The 19636-nt window shown below is 38.1% G+C and overlaps 1 protein-coding gene across 2 annotated transcripts in view; it reads left to right on the plus strand.

Annotated features, from left to right (window-relative positions):
• The window catches only part of FREM2 (FRAS1 related extracellular matrix 2), a 200055-nt gene that overhangs the window by 149884 nt on the left and 30535 nt on the right, over window positions 1-19636 (plus strand). The window contains exons 7-12 of one of the 2 annotated variants that reach the window (NM_207361.6): window positions 9613-9762; window positions 11501-11710; window positions 13078-13275; window positions 13984-14148; window positions 14726-14908; window positions 19166-19296. In NM_207361.6, coding sequence (NP_997244.4) covers window positions 9613-9762; window positions 11501-11710; window positions 13078-13275; window positions 13984-14148; window positions 14726-14908; window positions 19166-19296 — 1037 coding nt within the window. Of the gene's footprint in view, window positions 1-9612; window positions 9763-11500; window positions 11711-13077; window positions 13276-13983; window positions 14149-14725; window positions 14909-19165; window positions 19297-19636 lie in introns of those variants that run through there. The other variant, XR_941571.3, reaches the window with a different exon arrangement.

The following is a 19636-nucleotide window of genomic DNA, read 5'->3' on the forward strand; positions in this document are numbered from 1 at the left end:
AGTTATTTTTTGTCTTCTGCTAGTTTTTGAATTTGTTTTCTCTTGCTTCTTTAGTTCTTTTAATTGTGATGTTAGGGTGTTGATTTTAGACCTTTCCCGCTTTCTTCTGTGAGCATTATTGCTATAAATTTCCCTCTAAACACTGCTTTATCTGTGTCCCATAGATTCTGGTACATTGTGTCTTTGTTCTCACTGGTTTCAAATAACTTACTTCTTCCTGCCTTAATTTCGTTATTTACTCAGTAGTCATACAAGAGCAGGTTGTTCAGTTTCCACGTAGTGGTGTAGTTTTGAGTGGGTTTCTTAATCCTGAGTTCTAATTTGATTGCACTGTGGTCTGAGAGAGTGTTTGTATGATTTCCATTCTTTTGCATTTGCTGAGGAGTATTTTACTTCCAATTATGTGGTTGATTTTGGAATACATGCTATGTGGTGCTGAGAAGAATGTATATTCTTTTGATTTGGGATGGAGAGTTCTGTAGATGTTTATTAGGCCTGCTTGGTCCATAGCTGAGTTCAAGTCCTGAATATCCTTGTTAATTTTCTGTCTTGTTGATCTGTCTAATATTGACAATGGGTGTTAAAGTCTCCCACTATTATTGTGTGGGAGTCTAAGTCTCTTTGTAGGTCTCTGAGAACTTGCTTTATGAATCTGAGTGCTCCTGTATTGAGTGCATATATATTTAGGATAGTTAGCTCTTTTTATTGCATTGATCCCTTTACCATTATGTAATGCCCTTCTTTGTCTTTTTTTATCTTTGTTGGTTTAAAATCTGTTTTAAGAGACTAGGATTGCAACCCCTGGTTTTTTTTTGTTTTGTTTTGTTTTGTTTTTGCTTTCCATTTGCTTGGTAAATATTCCTCTCTCCCTTTATTTTGAGCCTACGTGTGTCTCTGCACGTGAGATGGGTCTTCTGAATACAGCACACCGATGGGTCTTGACTCTTTATCCAATTTGCCAGTCTGTGCATTTTAACTGGGGAATTTAGCCCATTTACATTTAAGATTAATATTGTTATGTGTGAATTTTATCCTGTCATTATGATGCTAGCTGGTTATTTTGCCTATTAGTTGATGCAGTTTCTTCATAGTGTCAATAGTCTTTACATTTTGGTTTGTTTTTGCAGTGGCTGGTACTGGTTTTTCCTTTCCATATTGAGTGCTTCCTTCAGGAGCTCCGGTAAGGCAGGCCTGGTCATGACAAAATGCTTCAGCATTTGTTTGTCTGTAAAAGATTTTATTTCTCCTTCACTTATGAAGCTTAGTTTGGCTGGATATGAAATTCTGGGTTGAAAATTCTTTTCTTTAAGAATGTTGAATATTGGCCCCCACTCTCTTCTGGCTTGTAGCATTTCTGCCGAGAGATCCACTGTTAGTCTGATGGGCTTCCCTTTGTGGGTAACCCAACTTTTCTCTCTGGCTGCCCGCAACATTTTTTCCTTCATTTCAACCTTGGTGAATCTGAAGATTATATGTCTTGGGGTTGCTCTTTTCAAGGAGTATCTTTGTGGTGTTCTCTGTATTTCCTGAATTTGAATGTTGGCCTGTCTTGCTAGGTTGAGGAAGTTCTCCTGGATAATATCCTAAAGTGTGTTTTCAAACTTGGTTCTATTCTCCCCATCACTTTCAGGTACACCAATCAAACGTAGGTTTGGTCTTTTCACATAGACCCATATTTCTTGGAGGCTTTGTTCGTTCCTTTTCATTATGTTTTCTCTAATCTTGTCTTCACGCTTTATTTCATTAAGTTGATCTTCAATCTCTGATATCCTTTTTTCCACTTGATCGATTCAGCTATTGATACTTGTGTATGCTTCACGAAGTTCTCGTGCTGTGTTTTTCAGCTCCATCAGTTCATTTATGTTCTCTAAACTGGTTATTCTAGTTAGCAATTCCTCAAACCTTCTTTCAAGGTTCTCAGCTTCCTTGCATTGGGTTAGAGCATGCTCCTTTATCTCGGAGGAGTTTGTTATTACCCACCTTCTGAGGCCTACTTCTTCAATTCGTCAAACTCATTCTACACCCAGTTTTGTTCCCTTGCTGGCGAGGAGTTGTGATCCTTTGGAGGAGAAGAGGCATTCTGGTTTTTGGAATTTTCAGCCTCTTTGTGCTGATTTTTCCTCATCTTCGTGGATTTATCTACCTTTGGTCTTTGCTGTTGGTAATCTTAGGATGGAGTTTTTGTGTGGTCGTCCTTTGTGTTGATGTTGATGCTATTCCTTTCTGTTTGTTAGTTTTCCTTCTAACAGTCAGGTCCCTCTTCTGCAGTTCTGCTGCAGTTTGCTGTGGTTCCCCTCCAGACCCCGTTTGCCTGGGTATCACCAGCAGAGGCTGCAGAACAGCGAAGATTGCTGCCTGCTCCTTCCTCTGGAAGCTTCATCCCAGAGGGGCACCCGCCACATGCCAGCCAGAGCTCTCCAGTATGAGGTGTCTGTCAACCCCTGCTAGGAGGTATCTCCCCATCAGGAGGCATGGGGGTCAAGGACCCACTTGAGGAGGCAGTCTGTCCCTTAGCAGAGCTCGTGCACTGTGCTGGGAGATCTTCTGCTCTCTTCAGAACTGGCAGGCAGGAACATTTAAGTCTGCTGAAGCTGTGCCCACAGTCGCCCCTTCCCCAAGGTGCTCTGTCCCAGGGAGATGGGAGTTTTAGCCCCTGACTGGGGCTGCAGCCTTTCTTTCAGAGATGTCTTGCCCAGAGAGGAGGAATCTAGAGAGGCAGTCTGGCTACCGTGGCTTTGCGGTGCTGTGATGGGCTCCACCCAGTTTGAGCTTCCTGGAGGCTTTTTTTACTCTGTGAGGGGAAAACCGCCTACTCAAGCCTCAATAATGGTGGACACCCCTTCCCACACCAAGCTCAAGTGTCCCAGGTTGACTTCAGTCTGCTGTGCTGGCAGCAAGAATTTCAAGCCAGTGGATGTTAGCCTGCTGGGCTCCATGGGGGTGGGATCCACTGAGCTAAACCACTTGGCTCCCTGGCTTCAGCCCCCTTTCCAGGGGAGTGAATGGTTCTGTCTTGCTGGTATTCTGGGCACCACTGAGGTATGAAAAAAACTCCTGCAGCTAGCTGAGTGTCTGTCCAAATGGCCACCCAACTTTGTGCTTGAAACTCAGGGCCCTGGTGGTATAGGCACCCGAAGGAATCTCCTGGTCTGTGGGTTGTGAAGACCATGGGAAAAGTGTAGTATTTGGGCCAGAGTACACAGTTCCTCACGGCACAGTCCCTCATGGCTTCCCTTGGCCAGGGGAGGGAGTTCCCCGACCCCTTGCACTTACCAGGTGAGGCAACGCCCCACCCTGCTTCTGCTTGCTCTCCATGGGCTGCATCCACTGTCTGACCAGTCCTAATAAGATGAACTGGGTATCTCAGTTGGAAATGCAGAAATCGCCTGCCTTCTGCGTTGGCCTTGCTGGGTGCTGCAGACCAGAGCTGTTCCTATTCAGCCACCTTGCCGGGATTTCTCCTTTTTTTTTTTTTTTTTAATGCGGAGTCTGGCTCTGTCACCCAGGCTGGAGTGCAATGGTGCAATATTGGCCCACTGCAACCCAAATGACCTTTAATTTTTAATCTATCACTGCTGCTGATGAAGCCAAGTAGAGAGTGTAAGGTATAGAATCACAGAGCATCAATATCTCAAATATTTTTTAACCTGGGGGATAAAACTAAAATATATATATATATATATATGTGTATGTATATATATACACACACATATGTATACATGTGTGTATATATGTGCATATATACACACACACACACAGATATATATATATACACACACACACACATACATATATGCTTTATAGTCTGGTAGTCCATTTTGTGAAAGAACTGAATTTAATCCCTTTCTGATGGATTTTGGGCTTGTTTCCAATTGCACCCTAATACAAATGAATGAAATACAATGAACAATCCTTTGTATGCATCTTTGAACACTTAGGTTAGCATTTCTATATGACAGGTCCTCATATATTGAATTGCTAGGTAAAAACTTTGTCCATAAAAATCTTGTGAAAAACTTTTATGACTCTTTTCCTGCCTTAATAGTAGTCAAGGGCACAGGCTTTATCTAGATATGCATCCTAGTTCTGCTATTTCCCTGATGTACAGCACAACTTTGGGGAAATCTCTTAATCTCCCTAATCCTTAATTTCCTTATCTGTGAAAACGGGATTAATATAGTACACACCTCAGTGGGTGGTTGTGAGGATGAAATAAGGTACTGAATTTAAAACAACTACTATGGTATCTAGCAATTAAGTTACCAGTGTTAAAGACGCTGAAATGAGCTAAAATAATACGCGGATTGCTGACTCCAAGGTAGTTGCCTGTCAAGATTTTTAAAAACAGTGCTGGGCCTGTGTGGAGGCAAGGGGCATGTGCAGGTCTCTGTATCTTCTGCTCGGTTTTGCCATGAACCTAAAACTGCTCTAAAAACTGAAACCTCTTAACAAACAAACACAGGTGCCTGGAAGCGGCTGTTGGAGATTCTGAGTTGGAAAGTTGGAGATGAGGCCCTAGCGTCTGTATTTTTAAATTGTCTAGGATAATTCTAGTATACTTCCTATTTGGGAACCAGTGAAGGCAAAGTATTTCAAAACAAAAGAAAAAAAAAAGCCTCTTCTCTTTGAGTTCATTTTGATTCACTTTTCCTTCCTCGTGAATTTCTTGCCGATTCGAAGGGCAGCCTTGCAAAGTCCTTTTACTGCAAAGAAAATCACTGGCTCTTCCTTCTGAGGCTTCTTAACTGCCACTGCCTGATGCTAAGAGTGTCCTCTTCTGACTCACCCACCACAGAGACAGAAATATTTATTCATTTGCTGCAGCAAATAAATAATTCTACTTTGATGTTAATTCATTCTACAAATATTGATTGCACACCTATTGCATTGATTAAACTAAGTGTTAGGGAAGTTACCAGTGAATAGAGGAAGCTTGATTCCTCCACTTAGAGAACTCAGAGACAATGGGGGACATACGCACAGTGATGGTAGAAGTTGAGCAAGGGCTTTGTTTGGTAGGGGAAAGCAGGGTGCTCCCCACAGAAGTGACTTCTCAACAGAGGCCTGGAAGATGTGCAGAGCAGAAGGTATCCGGACGAGGAAGGAGGAGCATTCAAAGCAGCAGAGCCATAGAGCAAAGGCTGGGAGGGGCACATTTAAGACATTCAAGATACTGGATTGTTTAGTAGAAAAGGGGCTAATAGGATGTTGAAAAGGCAAACCAAGACCAAATGTTTCAGTGTCTTGTAAACCATGTTAAGTAGCTTGTGAATAATCCCAAGAACAGTAAGCAAAGTTGAGAGGCTTTCAGCAAAGGGAGTACTATGATGAGATTTGCTTTGAGGGATGACCACTTTCCTTAAGAGCCTGGTTAAGTGGTTGCTGGGAAAACTCAAATGGAAGGTGTTATTGCCTACAGCTGGATTAGTGGAAATGAGACAGAGAGAAACCTGGGGAAGGGGAGTGGAGGTGACCCTGTGGATTCCGTTATGGAGAAGTTCACCTTGAGGTGCCCATGGGACGTGGATTGATTAGGCAATACAGCTCAGAAGAAAGATCTCATTTGGAAACAATTCCTTTGTATTATTTTCAGCACCGGACAAAAAAGGCAGCATTAAAGCTTTTACTTCATTCAGTTCTAAGCAAACACATTGGTTAGATCTACAAAGCTTACTTGAATGATGGTCTATGCGCACTTGAGTAAATAAGATTTGGCTCCAGATAGCAATTACTACTGGCACCTCTTCCTTTCATCTCAGGAGACACAATGTAATTGTAAACATCCATCTAGACACTGGGAAAATTTTCCCTCTGGGAAAGAACTTAAATTGTTTCTCTTTGTCTTTGTTGCAGGTATCTGTGCTGTATTGCTCACCTGTCCACCTCTTCTACGTTTGTAGGAAATAAATGTGATCCTATCTGTGCTGTAGGTAGTGAAAGTATCCCCAACCTTGAGAAGCGCATTTATGTTTAATGAGCTAAAATAGACTTTTCTGTAGTCAATGCCTTGATCTATGTCCTTTATTTAAAAGTATAAAGACCTCAAGGGATAGAGTGTAGAGTTTGGCTTCCCTTATGAATTTCACCCTCACTAGGCCAATTCAAAACCTCCCTTGCACTGCTCACAGACAATTTGGATAAACTTATCTTTCCTCTGCATTCTGGAGTGTCATCTGAGGGTGGTGGAGTGATGAGCAAGGACTGTTTTATGGTCTTAGTTGGGTGTAGGCTATGAGATGTGTGGCTTTATTTGATCATCCTCTTATTCTAAGTAATAATATCCTCCACTGATTGTTTTATCCATTAAGTCTGTGAACTTAAACATGGTACAAGGCACAGTATGTATTTAGGAGCTGAATTAAAGAATTGAATAGGCTTCTAGTTTACTTCAAATTGTACTGGGGTAGGGGTATTTCCATAACTGATCTACAAAGATCTTCAGTTTACTTATTTTCTTAAAAGAAACCAAGTTTCTAGGCCAAAAAAAAAAAAGTTTACCAAAGAAAGAGGTGAGTTAAAAGTCTTACTCATGAATAATAATTTTTGAGGGACAAGCAATTATTCTGGATTTTGCATAGATACCTTTCAAAGGCATGACAGTCACATCTATTTATTATTTTATTCCTTCCTCTTGCTTTAGTACTCATTAAAATGTTCCAGGAACATCTTGCTATTTTCCTTAAGTGACATCTATAACTCAACTTACTGCTTGATGTGTCTTTAACTCATTCATATTACATAAGGTTTTCTCCCAGTGGTAATGATTATAAACAATATTCAAATTGTAGATATTTTGAAAAGATGCTGAGAAATTGAAATAAACATAATCATTACTTCTTTTTAGTTCTCACTCATCTAACACTGAAAAAATATGCTGATGCTTAACCATTTTTTTAATTCATGGCACAAGAAACTAGGTAGTTAGCAGAGTTTTTTTTTTTCTTATGGAAACTACTGAATGTGTTTTAATCTCATAATAATCACATCAAACTTTAACTTCAGTAATTGTAATTGATTATTTGACCAGTTTTTCAATCATTATGAGTGGAGCACAAAGAGGGAGAAAAATCATATACATAAATCTACTCATAATCAAAAGCTTTAAGGAAGTAGTTAATTAACTTTTCTAACTCCTCTTATTAGCACTGCATTAAAGTTGAAGGATTTAGGGTTAAAATCCCATTTCCAGTCTCCCTCCTTCTTTCTACAGGAGATAACAATATATTATGCAATAGGCAACGTAATAATGTTGTTTGCATCTTTCATATCCCTTTTATTTTTATAACATTGTCACATGTGCCATGCCACCCCCGCCTCTTTCTTTCTCTCTCTCTGTCTTGCTTACGTACACACTTGCACAGATACACACACACATGCATATAAAACACATGTGTCTGTACATATATGGTAACTCATTCGTCTTCATTTCGAATGACAACTTAGAAGTTTTCAGAGTACTACACCCATAAGACTTCCATATTTTTTCTTATAAAAACTACACATTAAGCTATAAAGTAAAACTACGTGTTTTGGAGTTGACAGAATGAGTCTGAAACATGCAACACACCATTTGGTCCCCGATGTGTAGCTTATTTGGTGTTTAGCAGTTGTATATTCACTCATTTGATTTTATTATGTTCCTTTTTTGTTATGTGTCTGTGAGGAGTTGGGAGATAGGAAGATGGGGAGGTATCATTGTTAAATAAAAGGTCCTCCCTTAACTGCATTTCACAGCTCTCTCCCATAACTCAGAAACCTAATTTGGGTGCTGATGTGGTTTGCCAGGAATGTGAAGAGACTTACAGAGATCACTTGTTGGATGCAGGTGATCAAGCCTCTGTGATAGTTACGGAAGCCTTTTAAAAGACTTACAGATGTGCCTGGTTTGGCCATCTGGTCAGAAGATACATTTTCAGAGCTCTCTGTCTTCACCTTTGTGCCCTACCTCAGTGTGGGAAATGTCAGGAATGTATTGGCTTGTAATTGAGGTTGGCTTTGACTGAGGTTAACAGATAACACCTTCATCTATACACATTACACTCATGTGCCCTAGCACTGTCCAAGTCAAAAGGATAAGAAGGAGGCTAACTATGTTATAGGGACATTTATCACCCCCGAACCAAAATATGTGAACAAAATTTCTAAGGTTGGTTTTCTACTATTCAAGAATTTGAAGGGGCTGTATGATTTTTATCATGCCCACCATGTGAAGAAACAAAGAAAACAAACTTTTCCAGTTTAAATAAAGGTAATTTATTTGGGGCAAGAAAATAAAGAAATCATACTCAACTTGAACAATGCACAAAATGAATTTTCTTTGGCTTTCCAAGTGGCTTTGTGAGCCATTGTTGTAGAGTTTTGCTTAATTTGGTATGTGTGGGAATTCAATTAGTTGCTCTGAAACATGATATCATGTTTTTAGTGGCCTGCCTTCTTAAGGAACAGTAATGTGAGTTGCATGTTCTTTTAGATTCAGTCCTTTTGAATCTTGTAAAACTAGAGCCAGGTGACTAGAATCTGTCAAGTCAAAGGGTTGTTCACCTTATGTGTGTACATTCACCTGTGTCTGTTCATACATGGTAACTATTATCATTAACCTTTATTCTGGGTGATATAATTTATCTTTCTTAATAATTGCTTATAAAAATAAGCTCAAAATGAGTGAAGTATATACTACTTTTGCAACTTCCTGTGAGCCTCTATATAACTCAAAATAAATTTTTTTTTACAGTAAGATCACAAATTAAATCTCTGTTTTATCATTGGTCAGCTGACTGCTAAACCTCAGACTTCTAGCAGCTCTATCACAAGGTAAACCATTGGTCACAGTTTGAGTCAGGCAGAAACAATGATTAGATCAATTCAAGTTTATCACCAGTATTGGAAAAAAATACGAAGACCCCAAAGCATGTGCCCTAGTTTAGTGACTGAATTTGCCTCATTTTCATGTGTGTTTAGAATTAATATTAACCTCTTCATATGAGATTATTTATTTAGTAAAGTCTCACTTGGTATAGAGCATCTCCAATACTCTACAGGCAACCTGCAGTCAGGCCCTGCAGTCTTCAGGACTAGCAATCATATATTCAGTCTAGTTATGACAGTAGGTTCTAACCCTTGTGATTATAACACACTCACATACATCGAAATAAGCCCAAATCTAATGGACCAGAAAATGGCATAATGCAAAAAGGAATAGCTCTGTTCCAGAGTGGGAACTTGGTAAGAAATAATAAAATGAGTGGCTTGGCCAAAGTAAAAAAAAAAAAAAAGATACGTGTTTTGCTTCATTTAGTTCTATTTTTCCAACTAAGCTTCCAGAGGCACTTTTAGAAGCCACTTATAATCCCACATATGAAGCACAAACAAACTTATGCCTCAAGATGAGAATGTTTTATTAGGCACTTTACTGTGTGTATGTTCGATTGTAAGGACTAATATTTTCACCTGAAAAGTTTAGATTAAAGAGATGTTATCTCACTAAAAGGAAAAAAGTATGATGATATAAGGAAGTCCCTAAGAGGAAGCACACTCTTCTTTGGAAGCATGTCAATAGAGTTTGATGTGAAAAAATAAAAATAACAGAAATGATTTCTGTTCCTTTCTTAACAGAACCCATCTTTTACTTCGGTGATGTGGAATACTCTGTGGATGAGAGTGCTGGCTATGTGGAAGTGCAGGTGTGGAGAACGGGCACTGACCTGTCCAAGTCTTCTAGTGTCACAGTGAGGTCTCGGAAAACAGATCCTCCCTCTGCAGATGGTGAGCAGTTTCCCACTCGGCTCTTTTGATTGTTCTGCAATTTTCAATGACCATGGCACAAATTTATTTAAAGCTGAAATACTTCACTTCTATTAAAGCAGTTGGCTGGGTATATTGTTTTTGCTGAAATTATTACTCTAGGAGGTAAATCTAGGCTTTATTTACTACTTTGGGAAAGTACATTTAAAGGCCATGAATCAGAAACTAGGTTACAAACGTTAAGACTCAAAGGATCTGTATACTGAGGCCTATATTTCCATGAAGTGGTTCTCTACTCTCAGCAAATCTAGTATTGCTGAATGTTGTAGCATTATAAGCAGGAAAATCATCTTACTGCACATAATCTATCCCCACAGAAACCTATGACATTTAGGTATTATGCAGGCATGTGTCTTCAGTTGGCTGTCTCCTTATTTTAACCATGTGTCCCTATAAATACTTCAGATCCAAAAGGTTTTTTCCACACTTCGTTATAAAAAAGTACTAACTAGCACATATCTGCATTTTATTCCGGGATCCACATCTCCAAAAAGTTGATTATAAAGTTTACAGCAAGCATAGAATTCAAAATTTCCTTTTTTTTCTAAATGACCAACAATACAAACTTTCTCATGTACACACACATGAGAACACACATGCATGTCATACACACATCATGCATTCATCACACAAAGCAAGCACAGGTTATACCATTTTAAAAGTCACCCTTAGGTTTTAACTTTTTTAATGTAGTGGAAGCAGTATAGTGCTTTGCACGTAGCAGGTGCCCATTAAACCTTTGTTTAACTAAATTAATCATTTTTAAGAGAAAGATTCAAATCACAGATGAGGGGAGGGAGAGAGAGAAATAAGAGCAAAGGGGAAGAAGCAGAGGAAAAGAAAAAAATATAAAAAGAACCACAGGGAGATATGGACATCCTACAAAATGAATCAAAGACAGATATACTCAAGCAAAGTTGCACATTTGGAGGTAAAGTAGATACAAAATGAGAGTCAGAAGAGCAGAAGGTATGAAAACAAAGAAAGAAGAAATATTATCGATCTGTTGCCCACCACTGTCAATCTTTGTGGATGTAGTGGCTACAGATTAAAAGACAGTTTTGTTTTTAACTACTTTAGATATAAGTGGAGGTATCAACACTAGATATAACCCCCTTTGTCTGAAAAATATTAAATTAAAGATCAAAAAGTAGAAGCTTCTCTCATTGCCTGGGACAAAGGTGGATGGAGTGTGGGCAGAGCTGGTACCCCTTAAATGTGTTGCTTTAACTAACAGGCAACCACATACCTGAGTAGGATGTTCTACAGCAGCTCCAGCAAAGATACATAAATACTTAATTAATGTTAACAAAATTTTAAATGTCTCTATTTCATATGTAATTTATAAGGATCACATATTTGATTGATATGCTGATTTTTCTAAGCCTGATTTTTATTACCTTTATTAGAGAATTTTCAAACTAAAGTTAGAGGAACTATAGCACAGAAAGCTAAAATAATGAATCCAAAGTCTAACCATGAAACATGGATAAAGTTCAGCAGCTGGTCTTTGATCTATCACCACAGTAGTTATCCAGATACTAATCTTTTGCCTTTTATTAAATGTACTTTTCTGTAGAGTTATGCTGGTCTCTATTTTTTAAAAGAAGAATTATAAACACAATTACATAATTTATGTCTTATAATTTTTTGAAATTTAATTAGTCCCCAACTGAATATTTTTTTGTTACTGTCATAGCTGGAACAGACTATGTGGGCATCAGCCGTAATTTAGATTTTGCACCTGGAGTCAACATGCAGCCTGTTCGTGTTGTCATTCTGGATGACCTTGGACAACCAGCGCTGGAGGGAATTGAGAAATTTGAACTGGTGCTTCGCATGCCTATGAACGCAGCCCTTGGCGAGCCCAGCAAAGCCACAGTGTCCATAAATGACTCTGTCTCCGATTGTGAGTGTTTATTAATTTTATAATTTACAATGATAATTGAAATCATAAGCTAAGGTTTATGTATATATGATAAGCAAGATGATTATATATATTTGTTTGTTTGCTAGGGCTTCCATAACAAAGTAGCACTGTCGGGGTGGCTTAAATAACAGAAATTTATTATCTCATAGCTGTTGGCTGGAAGTCCAAATTTAAGGTGTTGGCAGGCTCGCTTCCTTCTGAGGGCTGTCAGGGAAGGAGGTTCCAGGCCTCTCTCCTTGGCTTGAAGATGGCCATGTTGTCCCTAAGTCTCTTTGCATGGTGTTCCCTGTATGTGTCTCTGTCTAATTTTCCCCTTTTAATGAGGACACCAGTCACATTGGATTAGAGCCTACCCTAAAGACCTCATTGTAATTTAATTACTTCTGTCAAGACCCAGCCTACCAATAAGGTCACATCCTCAGGTATTGGGGGTTGGGATTTCAACATATGAATTTGAGAGGAACACAGTCCAGCTCATACAAATACCCTAGCTGACCACACCTTTCTCCTCCTGATGATTTTGATAGAATTAGACAGTCTCAGAATAAAACTTTTATTCTTTCTCTCAAACCTTAAAGAAAAAAAATGTGATGTCATCAGTATCTTGATTGTGCCTCAAGAATTCCCGTCACCACAGTTGGGTGGAACCATGTGGAACTGCACAGACTCCTGAGTGTCAATAATCTTTCTCCACTTCACAGCACAAGACACTTTCTGTCGTCTCCTTCCCCTAGACACTCATCAAATTTCTTTAATAATGTGCCAAAAATGCTGTTCTGGGACAACCCTCTGCTGGACACATGGCAGAGCTCTCTGACACGTCATCACAAGGGAATTCTGAACACTCTTCAATCATGATGATTTCAACAGTGCTTGGAGGAGTCTCACCTATTGTCAATGAGCCCTATACGTAATTAACCTAGCATAGGTGTCACCTAAAAATCACACACACCACACACACAGTCAAGTTACCTACATGATCTGAGTAAACTATGCTTGTAATTATGTGCACAATATTCAGTGTTCTTCACGTCAGGAAATTCTGAAAGGCTCATGACTAAGAAACATGTAGATACAAATATCTTAAGGTTTGTGGTTTTATCTACTTTTTAACATTTCATTGCATACCCTTACTTTACCAAACAGGCAGAGCAAAATGTCAAAGGTAAGGAAATCAAAACTCTTAAGTGATTTGCTCAAGGTCAAAATATTGGCAAGTGACTGAATGGAGACAGAATCCAGTTCTTCTCACTTACTTTCCATTATTCTTTCCACTAAATCACATCTTCTGAAATGCCATTTTCCACAAGGAAATTTCTGTTCACTTTAATCCTTTGTTTTTGCAGTGCCTAAGATGCAATTCAAAGAACGAATATATACTGGCAGCGAAAGTGATGGGCAGATAGTTACAATGATCCATAGGACTGGGGATGTCCAGTACAGATCTTCAGTGAGATGCTACACCCGGCAGGGGTCTGCACAGGTGATGATGGACTTTGAAGAACGCCCAAACACTGATACCTCCATCATCACATTCCTCCCTGGTAAGCTTGAACTTGAAATTTTTTCGTGAAATTTGAAGAAGCCGAATTTTTACTCAGAAATATATATCAGGGAAATACAAGTTCCTCGATATCAACAAGCATATGGCATGGTTTTATGTGCAATAAATGAGGAAAGTGAAATCGATTTTTAACAGGTTGAATGAATGCCCTTTTGGTATCTGCATTAACTTATTGATTTCCAGTGATGTGATATATGGTTTATTCAAAACTTATTCAGTGGACAAAAGCATATCAAATGTACAGATTTTACAATGCTAGGAATTAAACTTGGCTCAATGATTTGTTTAGTAAGTCAAAAGTTAATAATACTAGAAACTAGTGTTGAGGTCAGATTAACAATGATCAACCAGGGCAAGGCTGCTAATCTTGCTTTCTGAATGTAATGCTAAAAATTCATAAATAAAATTGACATTTGTGCTTTTTCCCTTGTTTTCTAAGATGAGTGGCAGAGCTCAAAGACAGAAATCAAAGAAATTCCCCATACGAATAAGTGCTGGTCATTGCATATACTTAAATATTTATTCACTTATTCAGCAAATATCTGCTGAAGGCTTATTGCATGCCAAACACTATTTATTGCACTGATACAGCAGGGAAAATCAACAAACTTGCCCTTATGGTGCTCACATTCTAGTTGTAGATATATTCCTATGGGATGTGATTGACCTGCTGACATTATTGTTCCAGGTGAGACAGAAAAGCCCTGCATTCTTGAGCTGATGGACGATGTGCTCTATGAGGAGGTAGAGGAGCTCCGCCTGGTACTCGGCACTCCACAAAGCAACTCTCCCTTTGGGGCTGCAGTTGGTGAACAAAATGAAACTCTCATAAGGATCCGAGATGATGCTGATAGTAAGAAATCTTTTTTTGTTTGTTCAACTGTAAATTAGAAACTAAAATCCAGCCAAGTCAAGGTTTTAAGTGACTCAGAAAAATGCCCCCACCTCCTCTGCTTTATGACTAGGGTTTTTAAGCAATTGAGAAACAGCAAAAAGACAAACAAATGGGGAACAAAATAAACCATTAAAACTGATAAAGTTGATGCTGGAGAATATGGCTTATATCCAAACACTAATTCCCAAACATCCATACTGGCCCTCTACTCTATACACACCCTTGGGTACAGGGGGACCAACAGTTTCCTCCCTTCCCACCCACCTTCAGTGGCCTGCTCATGTGTAATTTATGGCACATATAGAGAGCTGGCAGCACATGCTCTCTGGGGGCTGGTTAGATCCCTGGAAGGAGCTGGACAACATATGCCAGCTTTTCCTTCCACACACGTCACTAATTTTGAGTGAGGGGACAGAGAGAAGCCAGGAGTGTAATAGTCATTTATCCCCTCCCACATGGAAACAAACATTAGAAATGGAGGAAAAGCATTCCCCTTACTAACAATTTCATTTGTCTTTGTTTCCCACAATTTTAGAGACTGTTATTAAATTTGGAGAAACCAAATTTAGTGTCACTGAACCCAAAGAACCTGGAGAGTCGGTGGTTATAAGAATTCCAGTGATTCGCCAAGGAGACACTTCAAAGGTTTCCATTGTGAGAGTCCACACCAAGGATGGCTCGGCCACCTCTGGAGAAGACTACCACCCTGTGTCAGAAGGTATGGGGCTCCCAGGGCCTGTCTCCTGATGGATCATGCCAACTCTGTGTTTCAGTGCCAGTGCCCTTAAGGAAAAGAAGGGAAACATCCAATTGAAATCAAAATAGGGCACTCTTTTTTAGGGGGTATAATTTTAAGGGGTACAAGTGCAATTTTGTTACATGGTTATATTATGTAGTAGTGAAGTCTAGTCTTTTAGTATCTCCATCCCCAGAATAATGTACATTGTACCCATTAAATAATTTCTCAATACCCACCTCCTGCCACTCCCCCACCCTCCCAAGCCTTCAGTGTTTATCATTCCACACTCTATGTCCACGTGTACACATTATTTAGCTACCACTTATAAGTGAGAACAAGCAGTATTTGACTTTCTGTTTCTGAGCTGTTTCAATTAAAATATAGACATACTCTTTTAAATTCCTCTCGTTTAGTAAAACAAACACAATGGGATTTATTTCCAAGATTTTTTTCTTTTTGACTTACAGGGTATATGTGTTAGGACTTAGGGAAATTTTGAGTAAATGTGCTAAATAACCTTCTGTTTGAATTGGCTTTCTATTAGTTTTACCTTCATTGTAGTTACCAGATTAAATAATAATTTCCTATATTTTTCTATGTAATTGCAATATGCATGATAACTGTGATAATAATCTATTTTAGTTTAGAGAACACCAGCAATCTAAATCTAAACCAAAAAATTTTGTGTTAACAAAGGACAGTAAAAGTATAGTGAAATATTAACCACAGAGACAATGAATTCTCTAGGATTTAGGAGCCACTTAGAGATGTCTTTCATCCCTCTCCTTTTGCAAATGTTGGGCCATGTCACCATCTTTTTTTTTTTTTTTTTTGAGACAGAGTCTCACGCTGTTGGCCAGGCTAGCATGCAGTGGCGTAATCACAGCTCACTGCAGTCTCCGTGTCTTAGGTTCAAGCGATCCTCCCACCTCAGCCTCCCAAGAAGCTAGGACTACAGGCATGCACCACCATGCCCAGCTAATTTTTTGTATTTTTGGTAGAGATGGGGTTTTACCATGTTGGCCAGGCTGGCCTCAAACTCCTAGTCTCAAGTGATCTGCCCACCTTGTCCTCCCAAAGTGCTTGGATTAAAGGCATGAACCACCAAACTCAGCCTGCCATTTACTTTTATCAGTAATTAAAACAAGTCAGTTCTGGCCGGGTGCGTTGGCTCACACCTGTAATCCCAGCACTTTGGGAGGCCAAGGCGGGTGGATCACCTGAGGTCAGGAGTTCAAGACCAGCCTGACCAACATGGCAAAACCCCGTCTCTACTAAAAATATAAAAATTAGCCAGGCGTGGTGGCACACGCCTGTAATCCCAGCTACTTGGGAGCCTGAGGCAGGAGAATGGCTTGAACCCGGAAAGCAGAGGCCGAGATCCGCCATTACACTCCAGCCTGAGAGACAAGCGCAAAACTCCGTCTGAAAAAAAAAAAAAAAAAAACAAATCAGTTCTTCTCTCTCACTTGCTCTCTCTCTGAATTATTTGCTTACAAAATAAAAGTAACTTTATGTCCAATATTACATTTATGAATTATTTGGAGTCTAATTATTCACTGTGTTTTCTCCTTTCCTACCTCTCACTATCAAGAGTCATTAGTTCTTGATGATCTTAGCACGTCAGGCATTCATCTTTATCTAATTTACAAACAAAGCTGAGAAAACAACTGATAGGTATCACTGAATCAGTAATAAAGTTAGTGAGGCAACATAAAAAATGGCGTCTTCTACAAAGGAGCTTGTATATTCTTTCCATATAATGGTTATAATTTGATGAACTACTCTAGAGCTTCAAAGTTATCCCCAGATTATTCTCTATGTAAAACAAAATATATATTTGAAATAAATCACATGTAATCCCAGAGAAGGGAAAACAAAACTGATTAGCTACTGAATTATAAAATATTAAATGTCTTTCTATAATGAGCAGATTTTACATGAAAGAAGTGTCTTTTAAATATTGATAACATGACTTTTAACAAAAAATGTTTTTCTTGGAAGTAAAATGATTCCTTTTGCTAAACGGAAACAAAATTATAGCTATGTAGTAAACTGAAAAATAAAGTCAGAAAAAAGTTAAAACATTAAATAAACCTGTTGGTCTCTTTTATCCAATAAATGTCAACATGTGTTTTATAATGTTTATATTAAAAATTTAAGGAATAGTTTTCTGAAACATTTTCTAATTTCTCCTTTTCAGGTTCAAACTGAAGTGAGTTCTTTGCAAAAAAAAAAACCAGAAAAAATTAAATATAGAAAAAAAGTTGAAATTTTTTCATGCTAAAATAGTCTAAAGTGACAGAAAAAGATAAATGTGAATGAGAAAACTTGACCACCGTCCAGCAAGTATACTATCAGAAAACAATAACAAATATTTAAAATAAATATTTAATTTTTTAAATTCTAAGAAATTTGGTTTGTATAACTCAAGGCATCACAAAACCTTGAATGCTTACATGTCTAAGATAAGCAATGAAAACGAGTAAACCAAGGAAAATATGATAGAAAATGGAATGATTATAGTGTCATTAAGCCAGCAAGCCCATTCCTTGCCAAGAAAAGGCTGTATTATCACAGCCTAGTGTTCGTAGTCTTCTGCCATGCAGGAAGGTGCCAAAAAACTCAAAAATCTCTATTTTCTTATGAAATTCCCAGATATTTAAGTGTTAGAAACCCAGTTTTTAATGTCACATCATACAGGTCAAATCAAACAAATGATTAGCTATTTTCTTCTCTGGAACAAGAACTGTAAGTTCTCTCAGGGTATAAGAAATCTGAGACTGATGGGCTCATTATGATATGTGAAGGCTGATAGGAATAGTTGCTGTATCTAGAGACAGAGAACTAATTTTAAAAAGAAAAAGAAAAAAATCTTTAAAGATAAAGAGAAGAAAATTGCTCCTCGTACCTGATAATTTAAAAATTGAAGCAGAAAAAGGAAAATGCACTGGCAATTCATTTTCTTCTTCCAGACTCTAAAGGATTTGTAATTTAGAATTATAATAATTGAACTGCAGCTACATCAGAAACTGGCATCTGTTGACTCTTCTAATTGGGATAATTATGCTTTATAGGCTTTATATTTTCTCCTTTGAAACGGTATCTTAAAAGGTATAGTAAAACCAACAAAATAGTTTATCCATGGTTTACAGTATGATCAGCTGCTTAATTACGATTTCAATAAAATCTGATAATTGTCATGTTTTTTAGCAATTTTGAAATGAGTGGTTAAGAAAATAATTCTGATTTTTTTTTTAGGATTCTAGATTTAACTTTCATGACAAAGAAGCAATTCTTTTTTAGTGAGAAAGGACAGGGTGAAGGGAAAAAAATCATTAGCATTTATCTAAAATAACTTGTCTAAGTTTCCCTGAAAAACACAAAGAAGTCTTCTTGAAATATAATTTGGTATTTTATAAAAAAGTCAACAATTATTTATCCAGCTCTTCTACATATGTACATAATGTAAATCCCATTCACACTCTATTATACTTATGATCATATTCATTTTCTTGAGTCCTATTGGTTTAGAAATTCTGGAGAATAAGAGGTTAATTTTTCTGATTCTATCCCAATATTAGAACTACTGATTGTCCCTCCCATAATTCAGCATCTTTTCAAACTGTGGGCCAACGAACCAATGTCTTATTATTAAAATTTTCCTTCAGATAAAATCGGCATTCCTAGCAACCTGGATGGAACTGGAGACCATTATTCTAAGTGAAGTAACTCAGGAATGGAAAACCAAACATTGTATATTCTCACTCCTAAGTGGGAGCTAAGCTATGAGGATGCAAAGGCATAACAATGATACAATGAACTTTTGGGACTCCAGGGAAAGGGTGGGAGGGAGGTGAGGGGTGTAAGACTACAAATTGGGTACAGTGTATACTGCTTGGGTGATGGGTGAAACAAAATCTCAGAAATCACCACTCAAGAACTTATTCATGCAACCAAACACCTCCTGTTCCCCTAAAACTCTATGGAAATAAAAAAATTAAAAAAATAAAGTCTTGGGAAAAAAGAAAATATTAAAGTAAAATGCATAGAATAAGAATTAGTGATGTTTGTTAAACATTTGATTTCATTTTACACACACACCCAAATATACTGGACCACAGTGTAAAATGTATTTCTCATTGTAGGCCACAGTAAAAAAAAAAAAAAAAAAAAAATAGAAAACTTCTCATATTCATATGCAAATGATTTAAATCTGTGATGTTACATTTGTAGAAATTGAGTTTAAGGAAGGGGAAACCCAGCACGTGGTTGAAATCGAAGTTACCTTTGACGGGGTGAGAGAGATGAGAGAGGCCTTCACTGTTCACCTAAAACCTGATGAAAATATGATAGCAGAGATGCAGGTAAGTAATGTAATGTGTATGTAAATTCATGGCTAGCAGTTTGTCAGAGGAAATGCATAAAAGCAATCACATAGTGTACAACAAAATGAGGAGACTTTGAACAAGCCTTACGTGAAAGAGATATGCATAATCTCTTTTTACCACCTAAATGTGTTTTGTTCTGATTAGATCATAGTCAAGAAATGTGCATCTTTTTCTTTGAAAAATCATGTTTGTCGAAACTCAAGGACTGAAGCCACTGAGCCCCAAACCTGTGCACTTCCCTTCCCCATGTCAGTCAGTAATGATTCATTGACCTTGGGATTAACCATCAGAGAGAAAGCAACATCTCAGAGTAAAG

Source organism: Homo sapiens, chromosome 13 (assembly GCF_000001405.40).
Source record: "Homo sapiens chromosome 13, GRCh38.p14 Primary Assembly".
Taxonomy (NCBI): Eukaryota; Metazoa; Chordata; class Mammalia; order Primates; family Hominidae; genus Homo; species Homo sapiens.